Below are 21605 nucleotides of genomic sequence, written 5' to 3' on the forward strand. Positions count from 1 at the left end.
CCACACCATTCCTTCCTGCAGAAACACAGTAAGGACTCTTCCTACACCTCCCCTACTTCCTCTGCTCCCTGACTTACCCACTTACTTCCTGGTGCAGTCCCCTGTGGCATAGTTCACTCTCTTCTTTTGGGAACTGTGAGGCTATCTTCTCAATGGCAGTCATCTCCTGAGCTGTTGGCCTTGCCATACCTAACTAATAATAAAATCTATATTCTAAGGTAAAAACAAAACAGATAGGGTCTCACTCTGTTGCCCAGGCTGGAGTACAGTGGTGTGATCATGACTCACTGCAGCCTCAAACTCCTGGGCTCAAGCAGTTCTCTCATCTCAACCTCCCGAGTAGCTGGGACTACAGGCACACACCACCATGCCTGGCTAGTTTTCTTATTTTTTTTGTAGATACAGGGTCTTGTTATGTTGCCAAGGCTGGTCTTGAACTCCTGGGCTCAAGTGATCCTCCTGCCTTGGCCTCCCAAACTGCTGCAATTACAGGCATGAGCCACCATGCCCAGATCAGAAATCTTACTAAAAATATTTCAAGGAGAAGAGAAAGCCAAAGATGTTGAATATATATATATGTGTGTGTGTGTGTGTGTATATATATGTATATATGTGTATATATGTGTGTATATATATATGTATATATGTATATATATATGTATATATGTATATATATATGTATATTGGGGCAGGCGTGGTGGCTCATGCCTGTGGTCCTAACTACTTGAGAGTCTGAGGTGGGAGGATTGCTTGAGCCTGGGAGATCGAGGCTGCTGTGAGCTGAGACTACACCACTGCACTCCAGCTTGGGTGACAGAGTGAGACCCTGTCTCCAAAAAAACAAAAAGAAAAAGAAAAAAAGATGGAAAAAGACATGAAAAAACAACAACAGAAATACCCACACATCATCAATGGGAGGGAAGCATCTTGAGGCAGCAAAGCGGGAGTGCTAGTAGAGAGGCAGATAGGGCGTTGGACCTGAGGCATTAAGGAAAGTCAGGATTTGGAGCTTACAAGTCTCTCATTGGAGATGGGATGGGGTTGGAATGAATGTCTGAGCAAACACAAAGCATTTCCTTCCCTAATGACTCCCCACCAGTCTAAAGAATCCCACATTAGGTCGAACACGGTGGCTCACGCCTGTAATCCCAGCACTTTGGGAGGCCAAGGCGGGTGGATCACGAGGTCAGGAGATCGAGACCATCTTGGCTAACATGGTGAAACCCCGTCTCTACTAAAAATACAAAAAAATTAGCCGGGCGTCATGGTGGGCGCCTGTAGTCCCAGCTACTCGGGAGGCTGAGGCAGGAGAATGGTGTGAACCCGGGAGGCAGAACTTGCAGTGAGCCTAGATCGCGCCACTGCACTCCAGCCTGGGGGACAAAACGAGACTCTGTCTCAAAAAAAAAAAAAAAAATTCCCACATTAGAGTTGGGGAAATGGGCAGTCCTGGTGGAAGTTAGGGAACAGATCTGGGACACGTTATAGCCAGCTGGACTACAGGAGGCCATAAGCTCAATTCTTCCTTGACTCTGAAACCTTCCACTGGTCCTAATGCCTAGTAATTCCAGGCCTTTCCCAGTTGTGCCAGGCTTGGAGGTGAACACATCTATGTGCCAAGAAGGAAAGGTATGCCAAGCAGGGGCTTAAGTCATCCTTATCCTCAGTCTGTCTATGAGTGGTATGTACCCCTGTTCCCCTTGCAAGATCTGCTGGGCTTAGGTCTCCTGGCTGTGAGTTCCCCATACCTGGGCATAAATGTAGTGAGCCTGAGCTCCCAAATAAGGTTGGGGGCTCCAGAGAGGTGGAGAGCCCTGTGTCTGGGAAGTGTGCCCACCCAGCAGGTCTGACCAGGAAGATACACTGCTAGGGTTATGGAAAAAGACTATGTGTCAAGGTCTCTTGATTCTCCATCTAGGCAGAGAATCATCTTTAATTAATGGGAAACTGGAAGGCAAATTACTTGGACCTGAAATTACTTTTTGTTTATTGAACCACTGTGTTGTAAATCACATCTCTCTGAAGGCAAGAGAAATCAGGGAGTTACAAAATGTTTAGGAGAACTAAACAGGACTCCCTGTTTTGCTAACTAATCAGATTGAGACAGGCTCTCTGGTAAATCTACAAATTTGATGTTGTTCAACCATAAGCAGTAAATTTCCTATGCTGGATTTTCCTGACAATGAATGTAAAAGGAAAAGGAGTCTTTTTGACAAAATATTTTATTGTTCATCTAAACTGAAAAACTTCTCTATTTTTCAAAATTGCTATACGTGTTTAAAGATGTAGATATTTGAATAGCCTAACTGGTACAGAAGGTTTAATGATGATTCCTAAGACATACCTATAAATTACTTGAAATTGAAACGAAATTTAAGAAGAATTATTGGAATTTTCCCCTTCTCAAATGAGTTCTTAGTTTCATAAATACTATACAAGTCCATAAGAGATTTGGGGTTTTGAGATGTCTTTTTTTTTTTTTTTTTTTCAGACGGAGTTTCACTGTTGTTGCCTAGGCTGGAGTGCAATGGCGTGACCTCAGCTCACTACAACCTCCACCTCCCAGGTTCAAGCGATTTTCCTGCCTCAGCCTCCCAAGTAGCTGGGATTACAGGGACCTGCCACAACGCCAAGCTAATGTTTTGTATTTTTAGTAGAGATGGGGTTCACCATGTTGGCCAGGCTTGTCTGGAACTCCTGACCTCAGGTGATCCACCCGCCTATAATTTATTACTCCCTTTTGCAAATGTTTGAAAAGGAATAAAGTGCAATATTTTTAAACAGAATGCAGAGTTCTGTTGTCCTTTGGCAATACCAGTTTCAGACTCTGAGAGTGGCTCTTGCTGTTGCCGACAGTGGGCTGATGACCAAATCCCAACATGCCCCCGCTGCGAGTCCTTCATAACCTGATTCAGTCATCACTTAGAGGCCAGCAGGCTTCAGGGAGGCGTGAGCCTCAGCCAACAACCTATAGGGGAAGAGACGCAGAACTCAATGCAGACAGGTTTGGATTCTGGTGCCTAGAGAATGCAACTTGGAAACTCTGAGCCAGGAGAAAAGGGTTCTCTCTCCATGAGAGAGTGTGGGCTTTGTGAGAAGCGACACACAGCAAACACAATTAAGAGTCCACCCCTCAGCGGGGCGCAGGGGCTCACGCCTGTAATCCCAGCACTTTGGGAGGCCGAGGCGGGTGGATCACGAGGTCAGGAGATCAAGACCATCCTGGCTAACACAGTGAAACCCTGTCTCTACTAAAAATACAAAAAAATTAGCCGGGCGTGGTGGCGGGCGCCTGTGGTCCCAGCTACTCGGGAGGCTGAGGCAGGAGAATGGTGTGAACCCGGGAGGTGGAGCTTGCAGTGAGCCGAGATCGCGCCACTGCACTCCAGCCTGGGCGACAGAGCGAGACTCCATCTCAAAAAAAAAAAGAAAAAGAAAAAGAAAAAGAGTCCGCCCCTGAATTAAATAGTTGGTCCTTTTGTGTTCCTGGTGATTCACTTGCTAAGTGGAAGAAACAGGAGGGAATCTTTTCTCCTGCCCTCCTGGTAATCCATAGCCCATGGCCTGGCTTTACTTCTGTAAAGTGGCAGGAGACCTTTTGACAGCTGAGCCATTTCTTATTTTATTTATTTTAATAAGAGATGGTAGGAATGAGCAATGATATTAGTACCTGGGGACTGTTGTTCTTAAGGAGAAACAATCTTAGAATGATTAGTGATACCCCTTGCTTTCTCTTTTCTTTCATTATACTTTTTGTACACATATTTTTCCCATTTATTTATTGGAATCTTACTGATTTATTATAAGTATAAGCTTTATGTCTACACATGTATAATCATTTTTCCCCAAGTATAAGTCTCTTTTTCATGGAGGCACAGCCTAGACCTGGTTAGCCGCCATCTCCCCTCATTGTATGCCCAATATCTATTGTAGTATCTGCTGCATAGAAGGCACTCGATGCGTGAATGGATAATGACTGATGATGAATCAATAAATAAATGGACATGTCATTGTAAAAAATTCTAAAAATCTAGAATAACACAAGCTGTTGGCACTACCTAGAAACACAGATGTAAAACTTCCTAGGTTGTGTTTCACCATGGGAACATGTCTTTGAACAAAAATGGGATCATATTCTATTGCACTCTTTCCCTTAAGAGATACTTCTCCAGGTCATTAAGTGCTCTTCCACAATATCAGTATATGGCAGAGGCAAGGTCATACCAGGTCTGTCTGAAACCAGGGCTTGGCTCTTAACTTGCAGCCATACTGCCTCCAAGTCTAGGTGGCTGGGTTTTAGGATCTGTAATGGGAACTCAGTGTCACAACCTCTACTGGGAAGGTATTCTGGTGTTGCATAACAGGACTTTCTGTTAGAGATAACCATGGCAAAATGGAATAGAGACAAAGTTCAGGTTTCTGCTGCCAGGAGCTGAGATTGCTGTGACCAATGGCATTCTCCCAAACCAAATAATCCAACCTGGAATTACCATAAACCACTCCTCATCTTTTCAAGGGGTGTCCAAGTTCCCAGAAAAGAACATTTGTTAAGGGATGGAGGCAAGGAGGTGGAGAAGAAAGAGCACTGGCCAAGGTATCATGAGTGTCCTGGGTTCTGGTCCTTGAATAAGCCATTTATCTTCTCTGCAGCTTCTCCATCTGATAGGAGTTTGGAGGCAGAGTTTTTTCTTAATGAGCAAAAGACAGTCGTGCCTAGGAGATGTGGTGTACATGTTAGAAAGAAGGGACTGGCTGTGACTCTATAAAAGATGAATTCATACAAAAACAAATTACCCTTTCCCAGGGAGAAAGTTTGGATCCAGTAATTAGAGATCTCAAAAAGTAGAAGACCTGCCCTGTGAGGCCTGTGGCCTCCAAGTTTGAATGCTGTGTGTCAGCTTTAAAAACTAGTTTCTTGCTGATAAATGTTTCATATTAAGCATGTGTTGAGAGTACTCCTTGCCTACCTTCACTAGCCACTGTTTCCTTCCCCTCCTCCCTTGTCCCTTCATTCTCTCCAGAACTTTCTGCTAACTTCCATTCTCTTCAGGACTTCAGCATGGTTGGGAGAAGATCAGAAAGGCATCCTCACTGTTTTTATTTTAGTCCACTTGACCTTTGGGGAGTAGTTCCACTGGCTCATAAGTATCAGCCCCCCATAGCACAGCACCCCACACTGAGCCCGGAAGCAATAAAGAATCCCAATCTGCTGTCACTAACCAGCACGCTCAACTGCCATGCCCTTTACTCTTCTCATCTCCCTGCTTTCACGTCACACCAACTAATTTCTCTATGAGTCAGCCTCAACTCTCCCAACACTCTGCCCACCCTTCTTCTACTACCTTCCAGTGAGCTCCTCGAAAGAAGGGTCTGCGGTGAGGATGCCCCTTTATCTCTGCCTATTTCCTTCCCATTACAAAAACTTGAAACCTGCCTTTCCCATGTTGATTTCACTTTATTCTCATCTTTACCCATGGGGTATGCCTCCTGCAATTCCTCCTAGACAATAGAATGAGAAAGAGGGGTCCTCGTCCTCTTTGCTTTCCATGACCATTTCTCCATTCTTCACCTCTGTGATGTGTCCTCTTTGAAGTCCCTGATAAATTCATTACCACCTTCTCTCCAGTCTTACTAATGTTATCTGCACAAGTGATTTCCAAACAGGAAGATTTTCAAACACTGATTCCTGAAGATCACCCCCAACTCGCTGAACTGAGACCAAGACCTCCAAGATTATGGCTTAGGAATCTGCATTTTTTTTTTTTTTTTGAGACAAGAGTCTCGCTCTGTTGCCAGGCTAGAGTGCAATGGTGGAATCATAGCTCATTGTAACCTCAAACTCCTGGGCTCAAGTGATCTTCCTGCCTCAGCCTCCCAAGTAGTGAGGACAACAGGAGTGTGCCACCATGCCCAGCTAATTGTTAATTTTTTGTAGAAATGGAGTCTCACTATGTTGCTCGGGCTGGTCTCAAACTCCTGACCTTAACCCATCCTCCGCCTCCGCCCCCAAAAGTGTTGGGATTACAGGTGTGAGCCACCGTGCCCAGCCTAGAAATACCCACTAGAAGCTTCTGTGTAGACAATCTGCTTAGTGATGTTTGGAGACAAAGTACCTCTTTATTGTATTCATTGACAAAACTCTCCAGTCCTCTCCCATCTTCATGGAAAATTTTCACAGTTCATTTACGGCCCTCTTTCCAACACATTCACTGCCAATACTCTTATTGACAATAACTGTATTGTTGAACCTTCCAGTATCCTGCATTCCCGGATCAAGGCCCCCTCAAAGCCCTGATATGCAAATATCTGGGAAAAGAATGTTCCAGAGGAAAGGAACAGCTAATCCGAGGCCCCTAGGGTAAGATGTGCCTGGGGGTTTGGAGACCAGTGTGGCCAGAGCAAAATGAGCAGGAGGAGAGAATTGGATGATGAGGTACGAGAGGAAGGAGTTAGGACAGTTTGAGTAAAGTTTGAAAACCATTATAAGGGCTTTGACTTCAACTATGAGTGGAAGTGGAATCCTCCGGAGAGTTTTGAATGGAGAGTGATAGAAGTTGTCTTGTGTTGTAACAGTCTGGCTGCTATACTGAAAAGAGACTAGTTGGCGGCAAAGGGGGAAATGTGGAAGCCAGTTAAGAAGCCATCATAACCCAGAAGGTGATGCCTAATAACATCTCTCTGGGAGCAGCGGAGAGATGATAAGGGTTTGCCTTCTGAATATGTTTTTTGACAATTAATGTAAACATTTCAAGTAGGCTGAGATTTTATTGCATATTAACAATGTCCATGTTCACTCGCGGCAGCCGCCCCCTTCTGCGCGGTCATGCCGAGCCAGCACCTGGGCCTGGAACTGGGCCGCAGCCCCCAGCTTCACCCACCACCTCCCTACCATGGACCCCTGCAAAGTGAACGAGCTTCGGGCCTTTGTGAAAATGTGTAAGCAGGATCCGAGCGTTCTGCACACCGAGGAAATGCGCTTCCTGAGAGAGTGGGTGGAGAGCATGGGAGGTAAAGTACCACCTGCTACTCAGAAGGCTAAATCAGAAGAAAATACCAAGGAAGAAAAACCTGATAGTAAGAAGGTGGAGGAAGACTTAAAGGCAGACGAACCATCAACTGAGGAAAGTGATCTAGAAATTGATAAAGAAGGTGTGATTGAACCAGACACTGATGCTCCTCAAGAAATGGGAGATGAAAATGTGGAGATAACGGAGGAGATGATGGATCAGGCAAATGATAAAAAAGTGGCTGCTATTGAAGTCCTAAATGATGGTGAACTCCAGAAAGCCATTGACTTATTCACAGATGCCATCAAGCTGAATCCTCGCTTGGCCATTTTGTATGCAAAGAGGGCCAGTGTCTTCGTCAAATTACAGAAGCCAAATGCTGCCATCCAAGACTGTGACAGAGCCATTGAAATAAATCCTGATTCAGCTCAGCCTTACAAGTGGCGGGGGAAAGCACACAGACTTCTAGGCCACTGGGAAGAAGCAGCCCATGATCTTGCCTTTGCCTGTAAATTGGATTATGATGAAGATGCTAGTGCAATGCTGAAAGAAGTTCAACCTAGGGCACAGAAAATTGCAGAACATTGGAGAAAGTATGAGCGAAAACATGAAGAGCGAGAGATCAAAGAAAGAATAGAACGAGTTAAGAAGGCTCAAGAAGAGCAGGAGAGAGCCCAGAGGGAGGAAGAAGCCAGACGACAGTCAGGAGCTCACTATGGCCCTTTTCCAGGTGGCTTTCCTGGTGGAATGCCTGGTAATTTTCCCGGAGGAATGCCTGGAATGGGAGGGGACATGCCTGGAATGGCCGGAATGCCTGGACTCAATGAAATTCTTAGTGATCCAGAGGCTCTTGCAGCCATGCAGGATCCAGAAGTTATGGTGGCCTTCCAGGATGTGGCTCAGAACCCAGCAAATATGTCAAAATACCAGAGCAACCCAAAGGTTATGAATCTCATCAGTAAATTGTCAGCCAAATTTGGAGGTCAAGCATAATGCCCTTCTGATAAATAAAGCCCTGCTGAAGGAAAAGCAACCTAGATCACCTTATGGATGTCGCAATAATACAAACCAACGTACCTCTGACCTTCTCATCAAGAGAGCTGGGGTGCTTTGAAGATAATCCCTACCCCTCTCCCCCAAATGCAGCTGAAGCATTTTACAGTGGTTTGCCATTAGGGTATTCATTCAGATAATGTTTTCCTACTAGGAATTACAAACTTTAAACACTTTTTAAATCTTCAAATATTTAAAACAAATTTAAAGGGTCTGTTAATTCTTATATTTTTCTTTACTAATCATTGTGGATTTTTCCTTAAATTATTGGGCAGGGAATATACTTATTTATGGAAGATTACTGCTCTAATTTGAGTGAAATAAAAGTTATTAGTGCGAGGCAAACATAAAAAAAAAAAGTCCATGTTCATCTCTAAATGACATCATTGTTCCAAAGCTTTTCCATTCTTCTTAACCTTCCACCTGTCAATCTATAGGAGATGACTTCTCCTACTTCACTCATGCATTGACTCCTTCAATCAATAAAAGTGACTAAGAACCTGCTACAGGTGAGGTGCTGTGTTTGGTGTTAAAGTGACAACAGTTATCTGTCAATAAGCCTGACAAGGTTCCTATCCCTGTGTTTTGTGCACTCTGGGTCAAACTCAGAAATGCAAACAGGTGGAGAGCGATGAGTTCTATGACTGGTAAAGAAAAGGGCCTGCTGGTTTCCCTCAGGATCTCTGTCCTTCATCTCAAAATGCATCTTCCTTGTTATCGTTCCTCTCCTTCCTGTCTCAGAGGAAGACCTGCTCCTGCTACACTCTGGGCAACCTTGTCCCCGTGGCCCTGTGGCCCCTTGGTTGTTGAAGTCTATGTTATGCCCTATCTTTTACCCTCAGTCACTCTCTCTGTTAACATTCTCCCTGTGCCCTGTAACCCTCCCTCATCTTTAAATAAATCCTCCTCCTTTGACCTTCGCATGTATTCAGTCATGCAACTCAACAAGCATTTATTGCACAGTGATATTCAATTTGCCACTTGCTAAAAGTCTGAACCTTGGCAGCTGAATGTGATCAGAAAAAAAGCACGACTGCTATGACTAGTCTCACTTTAAATTCATGGTCGTTGACCAAGAGCTACCATACAATCCACTACCTTTCTCAAGTTCAGTCACATTCTTCCTTTCCTAGATGTCTGCTTTCTACTTCTCTTCTCTTCTGAAACTTCCCACAACTCCTCGTTCATTCTCTTCTCAGTTGACAACTTTGCTTCCTATTTCACTGAAAAATAGAAGCAATCAGATATGAACTTCTGGCTGGGCATGGTAGCTCATGCCTATAATCTCAGCACTTTGGGAGGCCAAGGCAGGAGGACTGCAGGTTAGGAATTTGAGACCAGCCTGGGCAACATGGTGAAACTCCCACTGTACTAAAAATTTTAAAAATTACTCAAACATATTGGCAAACAACTGCAGTCCCAGCTACTTGGGAGGTTGAGATGCAAGGATCACTTAAACCTGGGAGGCTGAGGCTGCAGTGAGCCATGATTGCACCACTGCACTCCAGCTCAGGCAACAGAGCAAGACCCTGTCTTGAGAGGAGAGGAGAAGAGAGGAGGGGAGGGGAGGGCAGGGGAGGGGAGGGGAGGGGAAGGGAGAGGGGAGGGGAGAGGGGAGGAGAGAGGGGAGGGGAGGGGAGGGGAGGGGAGGGGAGGAGAGGAGGATCAGGTGAGGAGTATGCCAAGGAGTGTTTTTAAGACTTACTGTTTTCTCTTTCCCAACAAGATTGTCATTTCCTTTAAAAAGTAGTTATCCTGAGGCCTATATTCATAGCATTCTGAAAGAAAGAAAAGAAAAGAGGAAAGAAAGAGAGAGGAAGGAAGGAAGGAGAAAGAGAGAGGAAGGAAGGAGAAAGAGAGAGGAAGGAAGGGAGGAAGAGAAGAAGGGAGGAAGAAAAGAAGGAAGGAAGGAGGGAGGGAGGGAAGGGAGGGAGGGAAAGAGGAAGAAAGGAGGGAAAGAAGGAAGGAAGAGAGAGAGGAAGGAAGGAGGAAGAGAGAAGAAGGAAGGAGGAAGACAGAGAGGGAGTAAGGAAGGAAGGAAGGAGAAAGAGAGAGGAAGGAAGAAATGAAGGAAGGAAGGAAAGAAAGAAAAAATAAAAGAGTGAAAACGGACTGGAGAAGAAGAAACCACAGTTGCTGCTATATCCACCAGCCTCTCTGCATGTCCTGGCCTCAGCCCTGCTGGGCTCTGGTACTGACCACTTCCTTCCTTCCTAATTTCCTAATTGACTAGGCCAGCTGAGCAGGGCTTTTCTGTGCTGAGGAGGTAAATCTCTGGATATCTAGACTGAGGGGTGGAAGGAGCCTTCCAGGGCACACATGAGACATGGCAGGGGTAGGCTGCTAGTTTTATTTTGTTTTCTTTTAGACACAGGGTCTTGCTCTGTTAACCAGGCTGGAGTGCAGTGGCGTGATTATAGCTCACTGCAGCCTTGACCTCCTGGGTCTCCCACAATCCTTCCGCTTCAGCCTCTTGAGTAGCTGGGACTGCAGGTGCACACTACCACACCCGGTCCATTTATTTTTATATTTCGTAGAGACAAGATCTTACAGTTTTGCACAGAGTGATCTTAAACTCTTGACCCCAAGTGATCCTCCTGCCTTGGCCTCCAAAAGCATTGGGATTATAGGAGTGAGCCACTGTGCTGGACCTAGTCTGTCAGCTTTGAAGCTTTAGATATGAACTCAGAGGGACTTCATTTCAGAGGCATCTGCCATGTGGCCCAGCAGAGCCCATCCTGAGGAAATGACTGGTAGAGTCAGGAGCTGGCTTCAAAGCTGCCCTCACTTCACACCTTCCAGCAGCCCAGGTGCCGCCATCACGGGGCTCCCACTCTCAACTCCGCAGCCTCAGCCCCCTCAATGCTGAGGAGCAGAGCTGGTCTCCTGCCCTGACAGCTGCCAGGCACATCTTGTTCCCTCAGGTTGCACAACTGGGATAAATGACCCGGGATGAAGAAACCACTGGCATCCAGGAACTTGTCTTAGACCGTTTTGTAGGGGAAATGACCTGCAGGGACTTTCCCCAGGGACCACATCCAGCTTTTCTTCGCTCCCAAGAAACCAGCAGGGAAGGCTCAGTATAAATAGCAGCCACCGCTCCCTGGCAGGCAGGGACCCGCAGCTCAGCTACAGCACAGATCAGGTGAGGAGCACACCAAGGAGTGATTTTTAAAACTTACTCTGTTTTCTCTTTCCCAACAAGATTATCATTTCCTTTAAAAAAAATAGTTATCCTGGGGCATACAGCCATACCATTCTGAAGGTGTCTTATCTCCTCTGATCTAGAGAGGTAAGCAGGGTCGGGCCTGGTAGTACTTGGATGGGAGAACACCTGGGAATACCAGGTGCTAAAGGCTTTAAGAATAAAAAATAATGATCCTGCTTTGTGTTTATCCCATGTTGAGTTCTGTGCGGGGCAGAGGGAACACACGGTAAATGCGTTATGGGGAATTATAGGCTACTTGAGGGAGTGACAGTCTGGTGGTAACTCCTGCCTTCCTCCATCAGTGCCACGTTGGCATCCTCTTATGCAGTCAGGCTTCAGGGCTGATGGGTTCAGAACCGAGGGCTTCTGGCTCTGAGTGAGGTCCTGCTGCAAGGTTTCCTAGATGAGCCACTGAGACTCTAATAAGATCCAGTGGAAATAACCAGGCTCTCGTCGGAATATAAGTCCCAAGGGAAGCTGTGCCAGTCTTGTGGGCGACTGCCTGACTTCTCCTTTCATTTCAGCACCATGAAGCTTCTCACGGGCCTGGTTTTCTGCTCCTTGGTCCTGGGTGTCAGCAGCCGAAGCTTCTTTTCGTTCCTTGGCGAGGCTTTTGATGGTAAGGCTTCAGAAGGTTTGCAGGATTTCTGAAGAGAAACATCACCCTGGACCTGATAAACTGGGGAAAATGATGCTTTCGGAAGGCTGCTTTTGAACCACAGAGTTGCTAGTGTCTGCGTTGCTGAGGCCTGCCAGGAACTAGGGTTTGCTGGGTTGCCTGTCTCGAGTCTTTCAGAGCTGCTGGGAATATCCCCTTTCCCCGTAGTGCAGCTTCTCAGGATGTGTTAAGTGGATGGATCACATTTCAGAAGCCGCTGCAAGGTGTATCAAAAACACATCTCCTGAGCCGTAAGGGACGGGGCATCCAGTAACAACGCACACGGGGTATTTTTGGGCTTCCTTAAGATTTGAGCCGCTGCCTTAGGTTGTGCTGCCCAATGTGCCTGGGGAGCTGCTAAACAGATTAGAGAGTCGAGGATTGTTGTCAGTTACTCAGAGAAAGAACAATCATCCTTTCCAGGAGCACCTGAGCTGTTTGTTTTGCGTAGAAGATGCAAAATAAGGCCTGCAATGGGTATAAAATGTCCCTCAGCATAAATCGCATAGGAGTATGACTAAGGCTGTTGACTCTTCTGTCTTCTTTCTCCTTCCTCCTTCGATTTCCTAGTTGGATAATGTACAGGGCTCTTTAGCCTCGCTCTGTCAGGGGCTCCCTTCCTGGTTTGTTCTGTTTCCATTCTTCCTTCTCCAGCCTTCTTGACAAGAGCTGGGAACTAACGTGCCTCAAGCCCCCACAAGGACCACAGCATTTTCTCATTTAGTTTCAGAATGACTCTGTGACGCAATCTTCCTCTCTTGGAAGGTGAGAAAGCTGATCTTGGAAGGTGAGAAAGCTGAGACTTAGAGCAGCTGAAGCCAATGCCCAGGGACTTACTGCCAGTCAGCAGGTGGCAGGGCAGAGGTTTGAGCCCGGCTGTGCTTGAGGTCAGGGCTCTTGCCAGGTAGACGCATCACTGACCACCTCCTAGAGGTTGATGGTTATGAATCTCAGGCACACCTTGGCATCACCTGAAATACCCATGCCTTCAACTCCCCAGCAGAGTCTGCAGAAACTGGCCTGGGGTGTGGCCTGGGCACTGGGACTTTCAGTTTCTCTCTGGGTGATTAGAAAGTGCAGCCAAGGCTCACGCCTGTAATTCCAGCACTTTGGGAGGCCAAGGTGGATGAATCACTTGAGGTCATGAGTTCCGGAGCAGCCTGGCCAACATGGTGAAACCCCGTCTCTACTAAAAATACTAAAATGTAGCCAGGCGTGGTGGCAGGCACCTGTAATCCCAGCTACTCAGGAGGCTGAAGCACGAGAATCACTTGAACCCGAGAAGCAGAGGTTGCAGTGACTAGAGATCGCACCAGTGTCCTCCAACCTGGGTGACAGAGCGAGACTCCATCTAAAAAAAATGAAAAAGAAAGTGCAGCCAAGGCAGAGCACCACTGCCCTATTGCTTCCTCAAGCAACCCACAGCATCAGTACAGCCTACTAAGAAAGTATTTAGGGACTTTTATGCTCCTAACAGTCACTGGAACTCACGTCACAATGACGTGTATTCCATTTGCAAGAATATATACTTTAGGTCGGGGTGCGGTGGCTCACGCCTGTAATCCCAGCACTTTGGGAGGCCAAGGCAGGGGGATCACGAGGTCAGGAGTTCGAGACCAGCCTGACCAACATGGTGAAATCCCCGTCTCTACTAAAAATACAAAAATTAGCCAGGCGTGATGGCGCATGCCTGTAATCTCAGCTACTCAGGAGGCTGAGGCAGAAGAATCTCTTGAACCTGGGAGGTGGAGGTTGCGATGAGCTGAGATAGCACCACTGCACTCCAGCCTGGGCGACAGAGCAAGACTCTGTCTAAAAAAAAAAAAAAAAAAAAAAAAAAAAAAAAGAATATAAACTTTAGTAGTCAGGGCAGAAGTACTCTGTGTCTGCCACCTTTCTCAGCATCAGTATTCCATGTCACTACCTCATTCATACACACTCCTGGATCTTATCATAGGCAGCTTCATTCTATAGCAGTGGCTCTTCACCAGGGCACTTGAAGAAGCCAACTAGGATAAAGGAATGTGCTTCTCAACCCATGGTATCCAAGGCTGCTATGATCACAGGCTGAAAGCTTGAAGTCAGTGGAAGATTTGTCCTTCCTCATTCCCCTCTAAGGTGTTGTTGGAGTCTTTATGTTCTCCTGATGTCCCTTCTGCCTTTCCTTTCCTTTCCAGGGGCTCGGGACATGTGGAGAGCCTACTCTGACATGAGAGAAGCCAATTACATCGGCTCAGACAAATACTTCCATGCTCGGGGGAACTATGATGCTGCCAAAAGGGGACCTGGGGGTGCCTGGGCTGCAGAAGTGATCACGTAACTGGAGCTCCTGGGACGTTAGGGCTGGGTGAGCAGAGCTTGCCTGCCTTGGACAGTCAGGAGGGAGACGAGCTCCTTGTGGAGAAGTTAGAGGCTGCGGCCCCTCCTCCTCTTGCCCTCTCTCTGCCTCTGTGCTCAGTGTGAGGTCTGAGTGGATGGTAGGAGTGAGTGATTCCTCATCCTCCCTCTCTGGGTGCTGTTCATCCAGCCTAGGGGTGCCCAGCCTGGCTGAATGGGGTGGTGCCCAGTGTTTTCATCCCTCCTTCCTTGGCCTTTCTGGGCTCCTCTCTGAGCCCTCCCTTGGAACAGGGAGAATGGGAGGGTGGGCTATTGCTCACTGGCCTGATTATTAATCTCCTTCTTGCCTGCCTTGATTACAGCGATGCCAGAGAGAATATCCAGAGATTCTTTGGCCATGGTGCGGAGGACTCGCTGGCTGATCAGGCTGCCAATGAATGGGGCAGGAGTGGCAAAGACCCCAATCACTTCCGACCTGCTGGCCTGCCTGAGAAATACTGAGCTTCCTCTTCACTCTGCTCTCAGGAGATCTGGCTGTGAGGCCCTCAGGGCAGGGATACAAAGCGGGGAGAGGGTACACAATGGGTATCTAATAAATACTTAAGAGGTGGAATTTGTGGAAACTGGGTGTTATACTTTGTGGTATAGACTGCCTGTTTAGTATGAAGGGGCGATCCATGCACATCTAAGTGAACGTGGAGGCTGGGTGGGTGGGAGACGACTCCTGGGCACACAGGGCATCCTGGGCATCCCTGAGGCAAGGACATGATGAGTTCAGTGGCCACCCCCACAGGATCCCAGGGGCTTCAGCAGATCCCACCCCTTACCCCATGTGAGCAGCTGCCCAGTGAGTCTGTAGGAACCCGAGCCACATTCCCAGTGAGTTCAACTGCACCCCGGCACGTTTTGCTAGCACCTCAATGGAGAGCTCCTTGCTTGCAGCTTTGGCTTGTGGCACCCAGCAAAAGCTTCCTGCCACCCAGTGGCTACAGCCACACACTCTCCAGCAAGATTTAATCTCAGCCTTGTGAGGAGCCCTTTCCCAAATTTATTTCTTTCTGTGTTTTTTATCCCTTAGTAGCTAATCTCATGTTAGCCATTAATAACTCTCTATGTTAAACCCTTCCTTTTGTATCTGCGGCTACATTGATCAATTGTCTCACACCGCTCACCCACCCCCTCTCCCTGGTCATGCAGAGGCCTCACCAGTCATTTTATTGCTATTCCCAGGCCTCTGTGTGCCCAGATCTCTTCACTGCCCTGTCAGTTGTGTCCTGTCCCCTTCTCGACCTCCTGGCCTTGTCCTCAATGATGTTTCTATGAGGCTTTGGAAAGCCTCATCCCAAGAGTCCTGGCAACTGATACATTAGTCTCACCAACACTAGCCCCTACTCCTGATCTCATTTTAAAATTTTATTTTCTTATTTTATTATTATTATTTTTAGGGACATCACCCTGCTTCTGACTGACCCAATTTTTAAAGTTTCTCTTTATTCTCCTTAAAGAATGGCTCTCCCATTTGTTTCCCTCATCTTTCTTTTCACTGACTTAGAATTCAGGTCCAGACAAAAATTCCACTTCCTTGAAGAGCCTTCCCAGTAGCCATGAACCACACTCTGGGGCAGAGTTTGTGGCTCCCAAGCACTTTGTTCACACCTGCTCGTTCATCTTTACCCCCTCCTCTCAGAATTGGTTTTGTATGTCAGTTCCCCTGCTGGACTGGAAGCCCCTGTAACATAACTAGCATTTGAACAGTTCATAAAAACACTTTCATTTCTATTGTCCTGTGTAACTGTTCACAAGATACATTAGTCTCACTCATTGTCGTTTGACAATGTTTATTGTTCTAAAGAGAAAGCGAGATATGTAGGTAGACACAACACAATAAGAGCCTCAATACAGGCACACACTGGTGGCAGTCCAAACTCTGCTGGAATATGGAAGGCCAGTGAATAGTAACTAGAATCGCTGCCATCTTTTACACTGCAATTGCAAGACTGTGTCCTATACTTTACATGCTTTATCGGATTGACACTGCAGAGAAGCCTTTGATGTTCTCGGTTGGATAAACAGGTTTAGAGGTATGTGTTCAGGCCTTCTCCAAGGTCACACATGTAACAGGTGCAGAGCCAAGACTGCAGGCTGGTTTGTCTGACTCCAGAACCTGTGATACACTGAACAAGGCCAAGAGATTCAGCAGTGGAGACCTCCTCTCTTCTTCAGGAAGATAGGGAACATGGTAAGAGCAGTGAATTCCATAAGCATGGGACCCCGTTATACTTCATTTTTTGTAAAATTAGTTCCTTGATCAGAAGCAACGCCTTTGGGTCTCTCGCTATTGAGTTAAGTGTGGATGTGCCACTCTCCCTAGTACCCCAGAGTGTAGTTGGAGGCTTGCCTAGAGATTAGAGGTTGAGGATCCTTCAGTAGTTCCTATACCAAGCCATAAGTTGTGCTGCATCTGCAGGTAGGGTCAGGGAGCTCCGCTGAACAGATGTGGAGGACATCAGAGTGGGAGGAAAAGGAAGCAAGTCGTGTGGGGAGAGAAGACCCAGCCTGCAATGATGACTGGTTAACTACTGTTTCTTACCTAATACACACTCAGATAACAGACTAAGTCTAGGTGATAAAGCCTCAAAGAATAGCAGACTCTCCCCACTGCACCCGCTTCCCACCTCCGCCACCTTTCCACAATTCTTAGCATGGGTTCTCCTGAAAAGAAAGCGGAAACAAAGTCTTGTGTGTAGGTATTTTATTTGGGGAATGAACACGGGGAGCAGGAGTGAGACAGTGGAGTAAAACAGGGAAGAGCAAGGCCAATACAGGGACACATTATACAGCTGGCCATGCATAAGAGCCACATAACTGATGCCACTGGGACCTTCAGAGGAACATCATAAAAAGTGTCTCAGTGCTCTCCATCAGCAGTCCAAACTGAAAGGCACCTAGCAACTGGCTTCCATCTCCCTTTGGTCAAAGGTGGCCCCACCATTGTTAACTTTTCTGCATTTGTTGGCTATGCACACAAGAGTGTCCAGTGGGTTTACCTGGAGTAGGAAGTAGAAGGTCCACGGAGCAGACCCAAAGCAAGGTGCTGCCAGGTTGTACCTGTGTGAAATGAATTAAAGCCTATGGTGGAACCCATCACTGTAGCAGTGGCTGGAGAAAGGGGAGTGGGCCAACAGGTCTGAAGTAGTTGACAGGCTGCATCTGATACACAGTGCAAAGCTTTGCTTTTTGAAAGTAAGGTCTGGACACAGCAAGTTCACTTGGGAACAAAGGAATGGACTGGATCTTAGACTAAGAATAAAAGAGACAAGAAGAAACTATACTGGGTAGCCAAGATGGGGAAAGAGGCAGGGCGACTGGGAGAGACAGAGAAATGTAAACCACCATGGACTAATGAAACCTGCCATAACCCTTGTGATCCCACACAGATGCCACTCCCAGGGGGAACATGATTTGGAGCACAGTGCTCCACAAGACACTGAAGGAATTTAGGGATGCTATGGGGCTTTAATAGGTTTAGGGACATGGTGACATTCCTAGCAACAAGATTGTAACACACTACATAATCTTTTGCTTGAAATAACTTGTTTTTGTTTTCTTACAATATAGGTACTTTGTTAGAGGCTGCGGTAAAATGAGGGTAATATGATGGCCTTTATGGTTAGGGGATACAAGGAATATATGAATCTTATGCCCAATCAAACCCACAAGGTCCCCAATGGAGATAAGTTCTGAGGACAATGACCAGCACTCTATTGTTGGTTGGGGTTTGGCCCCAAACTTCAAAGCAGAACTCTGGTAAGTTGGGCTGCACTGCATGGTCTGGGATAGAAGTCTAAGAGGACTTCTTTCAAAATCAGTCTCCAACCCCTCAGATCAGAAAGGCCATTCCAGTCAGCCCCCACCAGCACTGGAGGGAGCGAACCAGGGAGCATGAGCTTGTGTTTGACTCACTCAGAGCCAAGTTCCTATTGCACACCTCATAGGCTTTTTCCAAATTAGAAAAGGACAGAAGGACCTGTGAGACCTGCTCTCCTTCACTTCCTTTAGTAGGGTAAGGCTAACTTGCTTCAACAAAGATACTCCAAAATACAGAATGTTAAGGAATATACAAATTTATGTCTCACCTAACAGTTTGTGATGAGTATTTCAGCTGCCAGGGACTTCAGCTCCGTACTGTCTTTCAGGTTCCTTCCAAGTTGTTGGCTCTACCATACTTCAGACTGACCCTTGCTACTCAAAGTGTGATCCAAGGACCAGAGGCATCAGCATCGCCTGGGATCTTGTCAGAAATGCAAAATCTCAGGCTCTACCCTAGATCTACTGTGGCAGTCAGGAGCTCCTACCTAATCTGTAGGAACTACAGCAAAAAATAAAAATAAAAAATAAGTAGGGACTTTGTTGAGAAGCCAAAACAGGGGAAAAAAATGTGGGAACCCTTGTCCATCAATTATTAAGAATTTCAAAACAGTGAAAGCAGAACATTAAACCAAGTGGGGGGCCCTCATAAGCTCAGGGTTCTGACAATTATACAGCCCTCACGTCCATGTGAGGTGGACAGAATCCTAAGGAAATTTCAGCAGGTGGGCAATGGGTGAAAAGCCACGCCAGAATTGAACAGGAACATATGCAAAAAGAGCAAAGTGCAGAACGTATGCAAGGAACGGAGGACCCAGGACAAGGGACAAACTTGGGCTCTGAAACAGAAAAAGTTTGAAAATAGATCACGGAAGGCCTTAAATGCCAAGCCCAAGGGCTTGGGCTGTACTCTGAAAACAGAGGGGAGGCGTTGAAAGTTTCTGACTGGGAAGTGGCATGACTGTGCCCCAAGAAGACAAAGATCCTGGCAGTGCATCTGCAATTAACTTCCCATGAAAGCAAGATAAACAATCTTTCTCATGGACTGTGATGCATCTATACACGAGGATGACTCTATCTAAATCTCAGAACAGTGTGGGGGTCGATGGCAAGTTGAGGGAGGTTAAATTAGTCCATTGAGCCCGGGCACAGTGGCTCACGCCTGTAATCCCAGCACGTCAGGAGGCCCAGGCAAGCAGATTAATTGAGGTCAGGAGTTGGAGACCAGCCTGGCCAACATAATGAAACCCCACATTTACTAAAAATACAAAAATTAGCCAGGCGTGGTGGTGCACACCTGTAATCCCAGCTACTCGGTAGGCTGAGGCAGGAGAATCGCTTGAAACCAGGAGGTTGCAGTGAGCTGAGATCGTGTCATTGCACTCCAGCCTGGGTGACAGAGCGAGACTCCGTCTCAAAAATAAAAATAAATTAGTCCCTTGATCTATAGTTTTCAGGTTTGGGGCAGGGTCTCTACCAATTGTATTTTTTTTTTTTTTTTTGAGACAGACTCTCACTCTGTCACCCAGGCTGTAGTGCCGTGGTGCGATCTCAGCTCACTGCAACCTCTGCCTCCCGGGTTCAAGCGATTCTCATGTCTCAGCCTCCTGAGTAGCTGGGACTACCTGTGTGTGCCACCATGCCCAGCTAATTTTTTTTTTTAACAGTCTCGCTGTGTGGCCCAGGCTGGAGAGCAGTGGTGCAATCTCAGCTCACTGCAACCTCCACCTCCCAGGTTCAAGCGATTCTCCTGCCTCAGCCTCCCAAGTAGCGGGACTACAGGAACCCACCACCATGCCCAGCTAAATTTTTATTGTATTTTAGTAAAGACAGGGTTTCACTATGTTGGCCAGGCTGGTCTTGAACTCCTGACCTCAGGTGATCCGCCCACCTTGGCCTCCCAAAGTGCTGGGATTACAAGTGTGAGCCACCATGCCTGGCCAGCAATTGTATTTTTAACAGGCTCCTGCGGTGATTCTGATATGGAGCCAGGTTTGTGAATCACCTGACTGGGTAATAGTGTGTCCGGAATTGGTGGGTTCTTGGTCTCACTGACTTCAAGAATGAAGCCACAGACCCTCTCGGTGAGTGTTTAAGTGTTACAGTTCTTAAAGGTGGGGTGTCCGGAATGTTACTTCTGGTGTTCGGAGTTTCTTTTCTGGTGGGTTCGTGGTCTCCCTGGCTCAGGAGTGAAGCTATGGACCTTCGTGGTGAGTGTTACAGCTCTTAAGGTGGAGCGTCTGGAGTTGTCTGTCCCTCCCGGTGGGTTCATGGTCTCACTGGCTTCAGGAGTGAACTGCAGACCTTCGCAGTGAGTGTTACAGCTCATAAAGGCAGTGTGGACCCAAAAAGTGAGCAGCAGCAAGATTTATTGCAAAGAGCAAAAGAACAAAGCTTCCACAGTGTGGAAGGGGACCTGAGCAGGTTGCCACCCCAGTTCAGGCAGCCTGCTTTTATTCTCTTATCTGGCCCCACCCACATCCTGCTGATTGGTCCATTTTACAGAGAGCTGATTGGTCCGTTTTGACAGGGTGCTGATTGGTGCATTTACAATCCCTGAGCTAGACACAAAAGTTCTCCACATCCCCACTAGATTAGCTAGATACAGAATGCTGACTGGTGTATTTACAGTCCCTTAGCTAGACATAAAGGTTCTCCAAGTCCCCACCAGAGTAGCTAGATACAGTGTCGATTGGTGCATTCACAAACCCTGAGCTAGACACAGGGTGCTGATTGGTGTGTTTACAAACCTTGAGCTAGATACAGAGTGCCGATTGGTGTATTTACAATCCCTCAGCTAGACATAAAGGTTCTCCAAGTCCCCACCAGACGCAGGAGCCCAGCTGGCTTCACCCAGTGGATCCCGCACCGGGGCCACAGGTGGAGCTGCCTGCCAGTCCCCTGCCATGTGCCCGCACTCCTCAGCCCTTGGGTGGTCAATGGGACTGGGCGCCCTGGAGCAGGGGGCGGTGCTCGTCAGGGAGGCTTGGGCCGCACAGGAGCCCACGGAGTCGGGGGGAGGCTCAGGCATGGCGGGCTGCAGGTCCCGAGCCCTGCCCCACAGGAAGGCAGCTAAGGCCTAGCGAGAAATTGAGCACAGCAGCTGCTGGCCCAGGTGCTAAGCCCCTCACTGCCCAGGGCCGGTGGGGCCGGCCGGCCGCTCCGATGCGGGGCCCGCTGAGCCCACGCCCACCCGGAACTCGCGCTGGCCCGCAAGCACCGCGCACAGCCCCGGTTCCCACCTGCGCCTCTCCCTCCACACCGCCCTGCAAGCTGAGGGAGCCGGCTCCAGCCTTGGCCAGCCCAGAAAGGGGCTCCCACAGTGCAGCAGCGAGCTAAAGGGCTCCTCAAGTGCCGCCAGAGTGGGGGCCGAGGCCGAGGAGGCACGGAGAGTGAGCGAGGGCTGCGAGGGTCGCCAGCACGCTGTCACCTCTTAATAGATCTAAGATTGTTTACATTTATTGTGCTGAGATGA

At 47.5% G+C, this 21605-nt stretch overlaps 1 protein-coding gene and 2 pseudogenes across 3 annotated transcripts; all 3 read left to right on the top strand.

Moving 5' to 3' along the window:
- ST13P5 (ST13, Hsp70 interacting protein pseudogene 5) lies at positions 6794-8410 on the top strand (annotated as a pseudogene).
- On the top strand, positions 11173-14876 carry SAA1 (serum amyloid A1). Of its 3 annotated transcripts, NM_001178006.3 has the most exons (5): positions 11173-11205; positions 11292-11352; positions 11793-11887; positions 14104-14242; positions 14626-14876. In NM_001178006.3, the coding sequence occupies exons 3-5, from the start codon at positions 11797-11799 to the stop codon at positions 14762-14764; spliced, it is 369 nt and encodes a 122-aa protein (NP_001171477.2). In that variant the 5' UTR covers positions 11173-11205; positions 11292-11352; positions 11793-11796; the 3' UTR covers positions 14765-14876. The 3 variants fall into 3 exon arrangements, with proteins under 3 accessions (NP_001171477.2, NP_000322.3, NP_954630.2); NM_000331.6 differs by having other exon boundaries at positions 11173-11352; NM_199161.5 differs by lacking the exon at positions 11292-11352.
- On the top strand, positions 11305-11421 carry RNA5SP334 (RNA, 5S ribosomal pseudogene 334; annotated as a pseudogene).

This window comes from Homo sapiens, chromosome 11 (assembly GCF_000001405.40).
Source record: "Homo sapiens chromosome 11, GRCh38.p14 Primary Assembly".
In the NCBI taxonomy this organism is placed as follows: Eukaryota; Metazoa; Chordata; class Mammalia; order Primates; family Hominidae; genus Homo; species Homo sapiens.

What these genes read in the sequence shown, in the direction of transcription:
- SAA1 (NM_000331.6), top strand. Translation starts at nt 11,797, where the DNA reads ATGAAGCTTCTCACGGGCCTGGTTTTCTGCTCCTTGGTCCTGGGTGTC. An exon ending in CCTTGGCGAGGCTTTTGATG is followed by an intron (nt 11,888 to 14,103) that starts GTAAGGCTTCAG and finishes TTTCCTTTCCAG; the next exon opens with GGGCTCGGGACATGTGGAGA. An exon ending in TGGGCTGCAGAAGTGATCAC is followed by an intron (nt 14,243 to 14,625) that starts GTAACTGGAGCT and finishes CCTTGATTACAG; the next exon opens with CGATGCCAGAGAGAATATCC.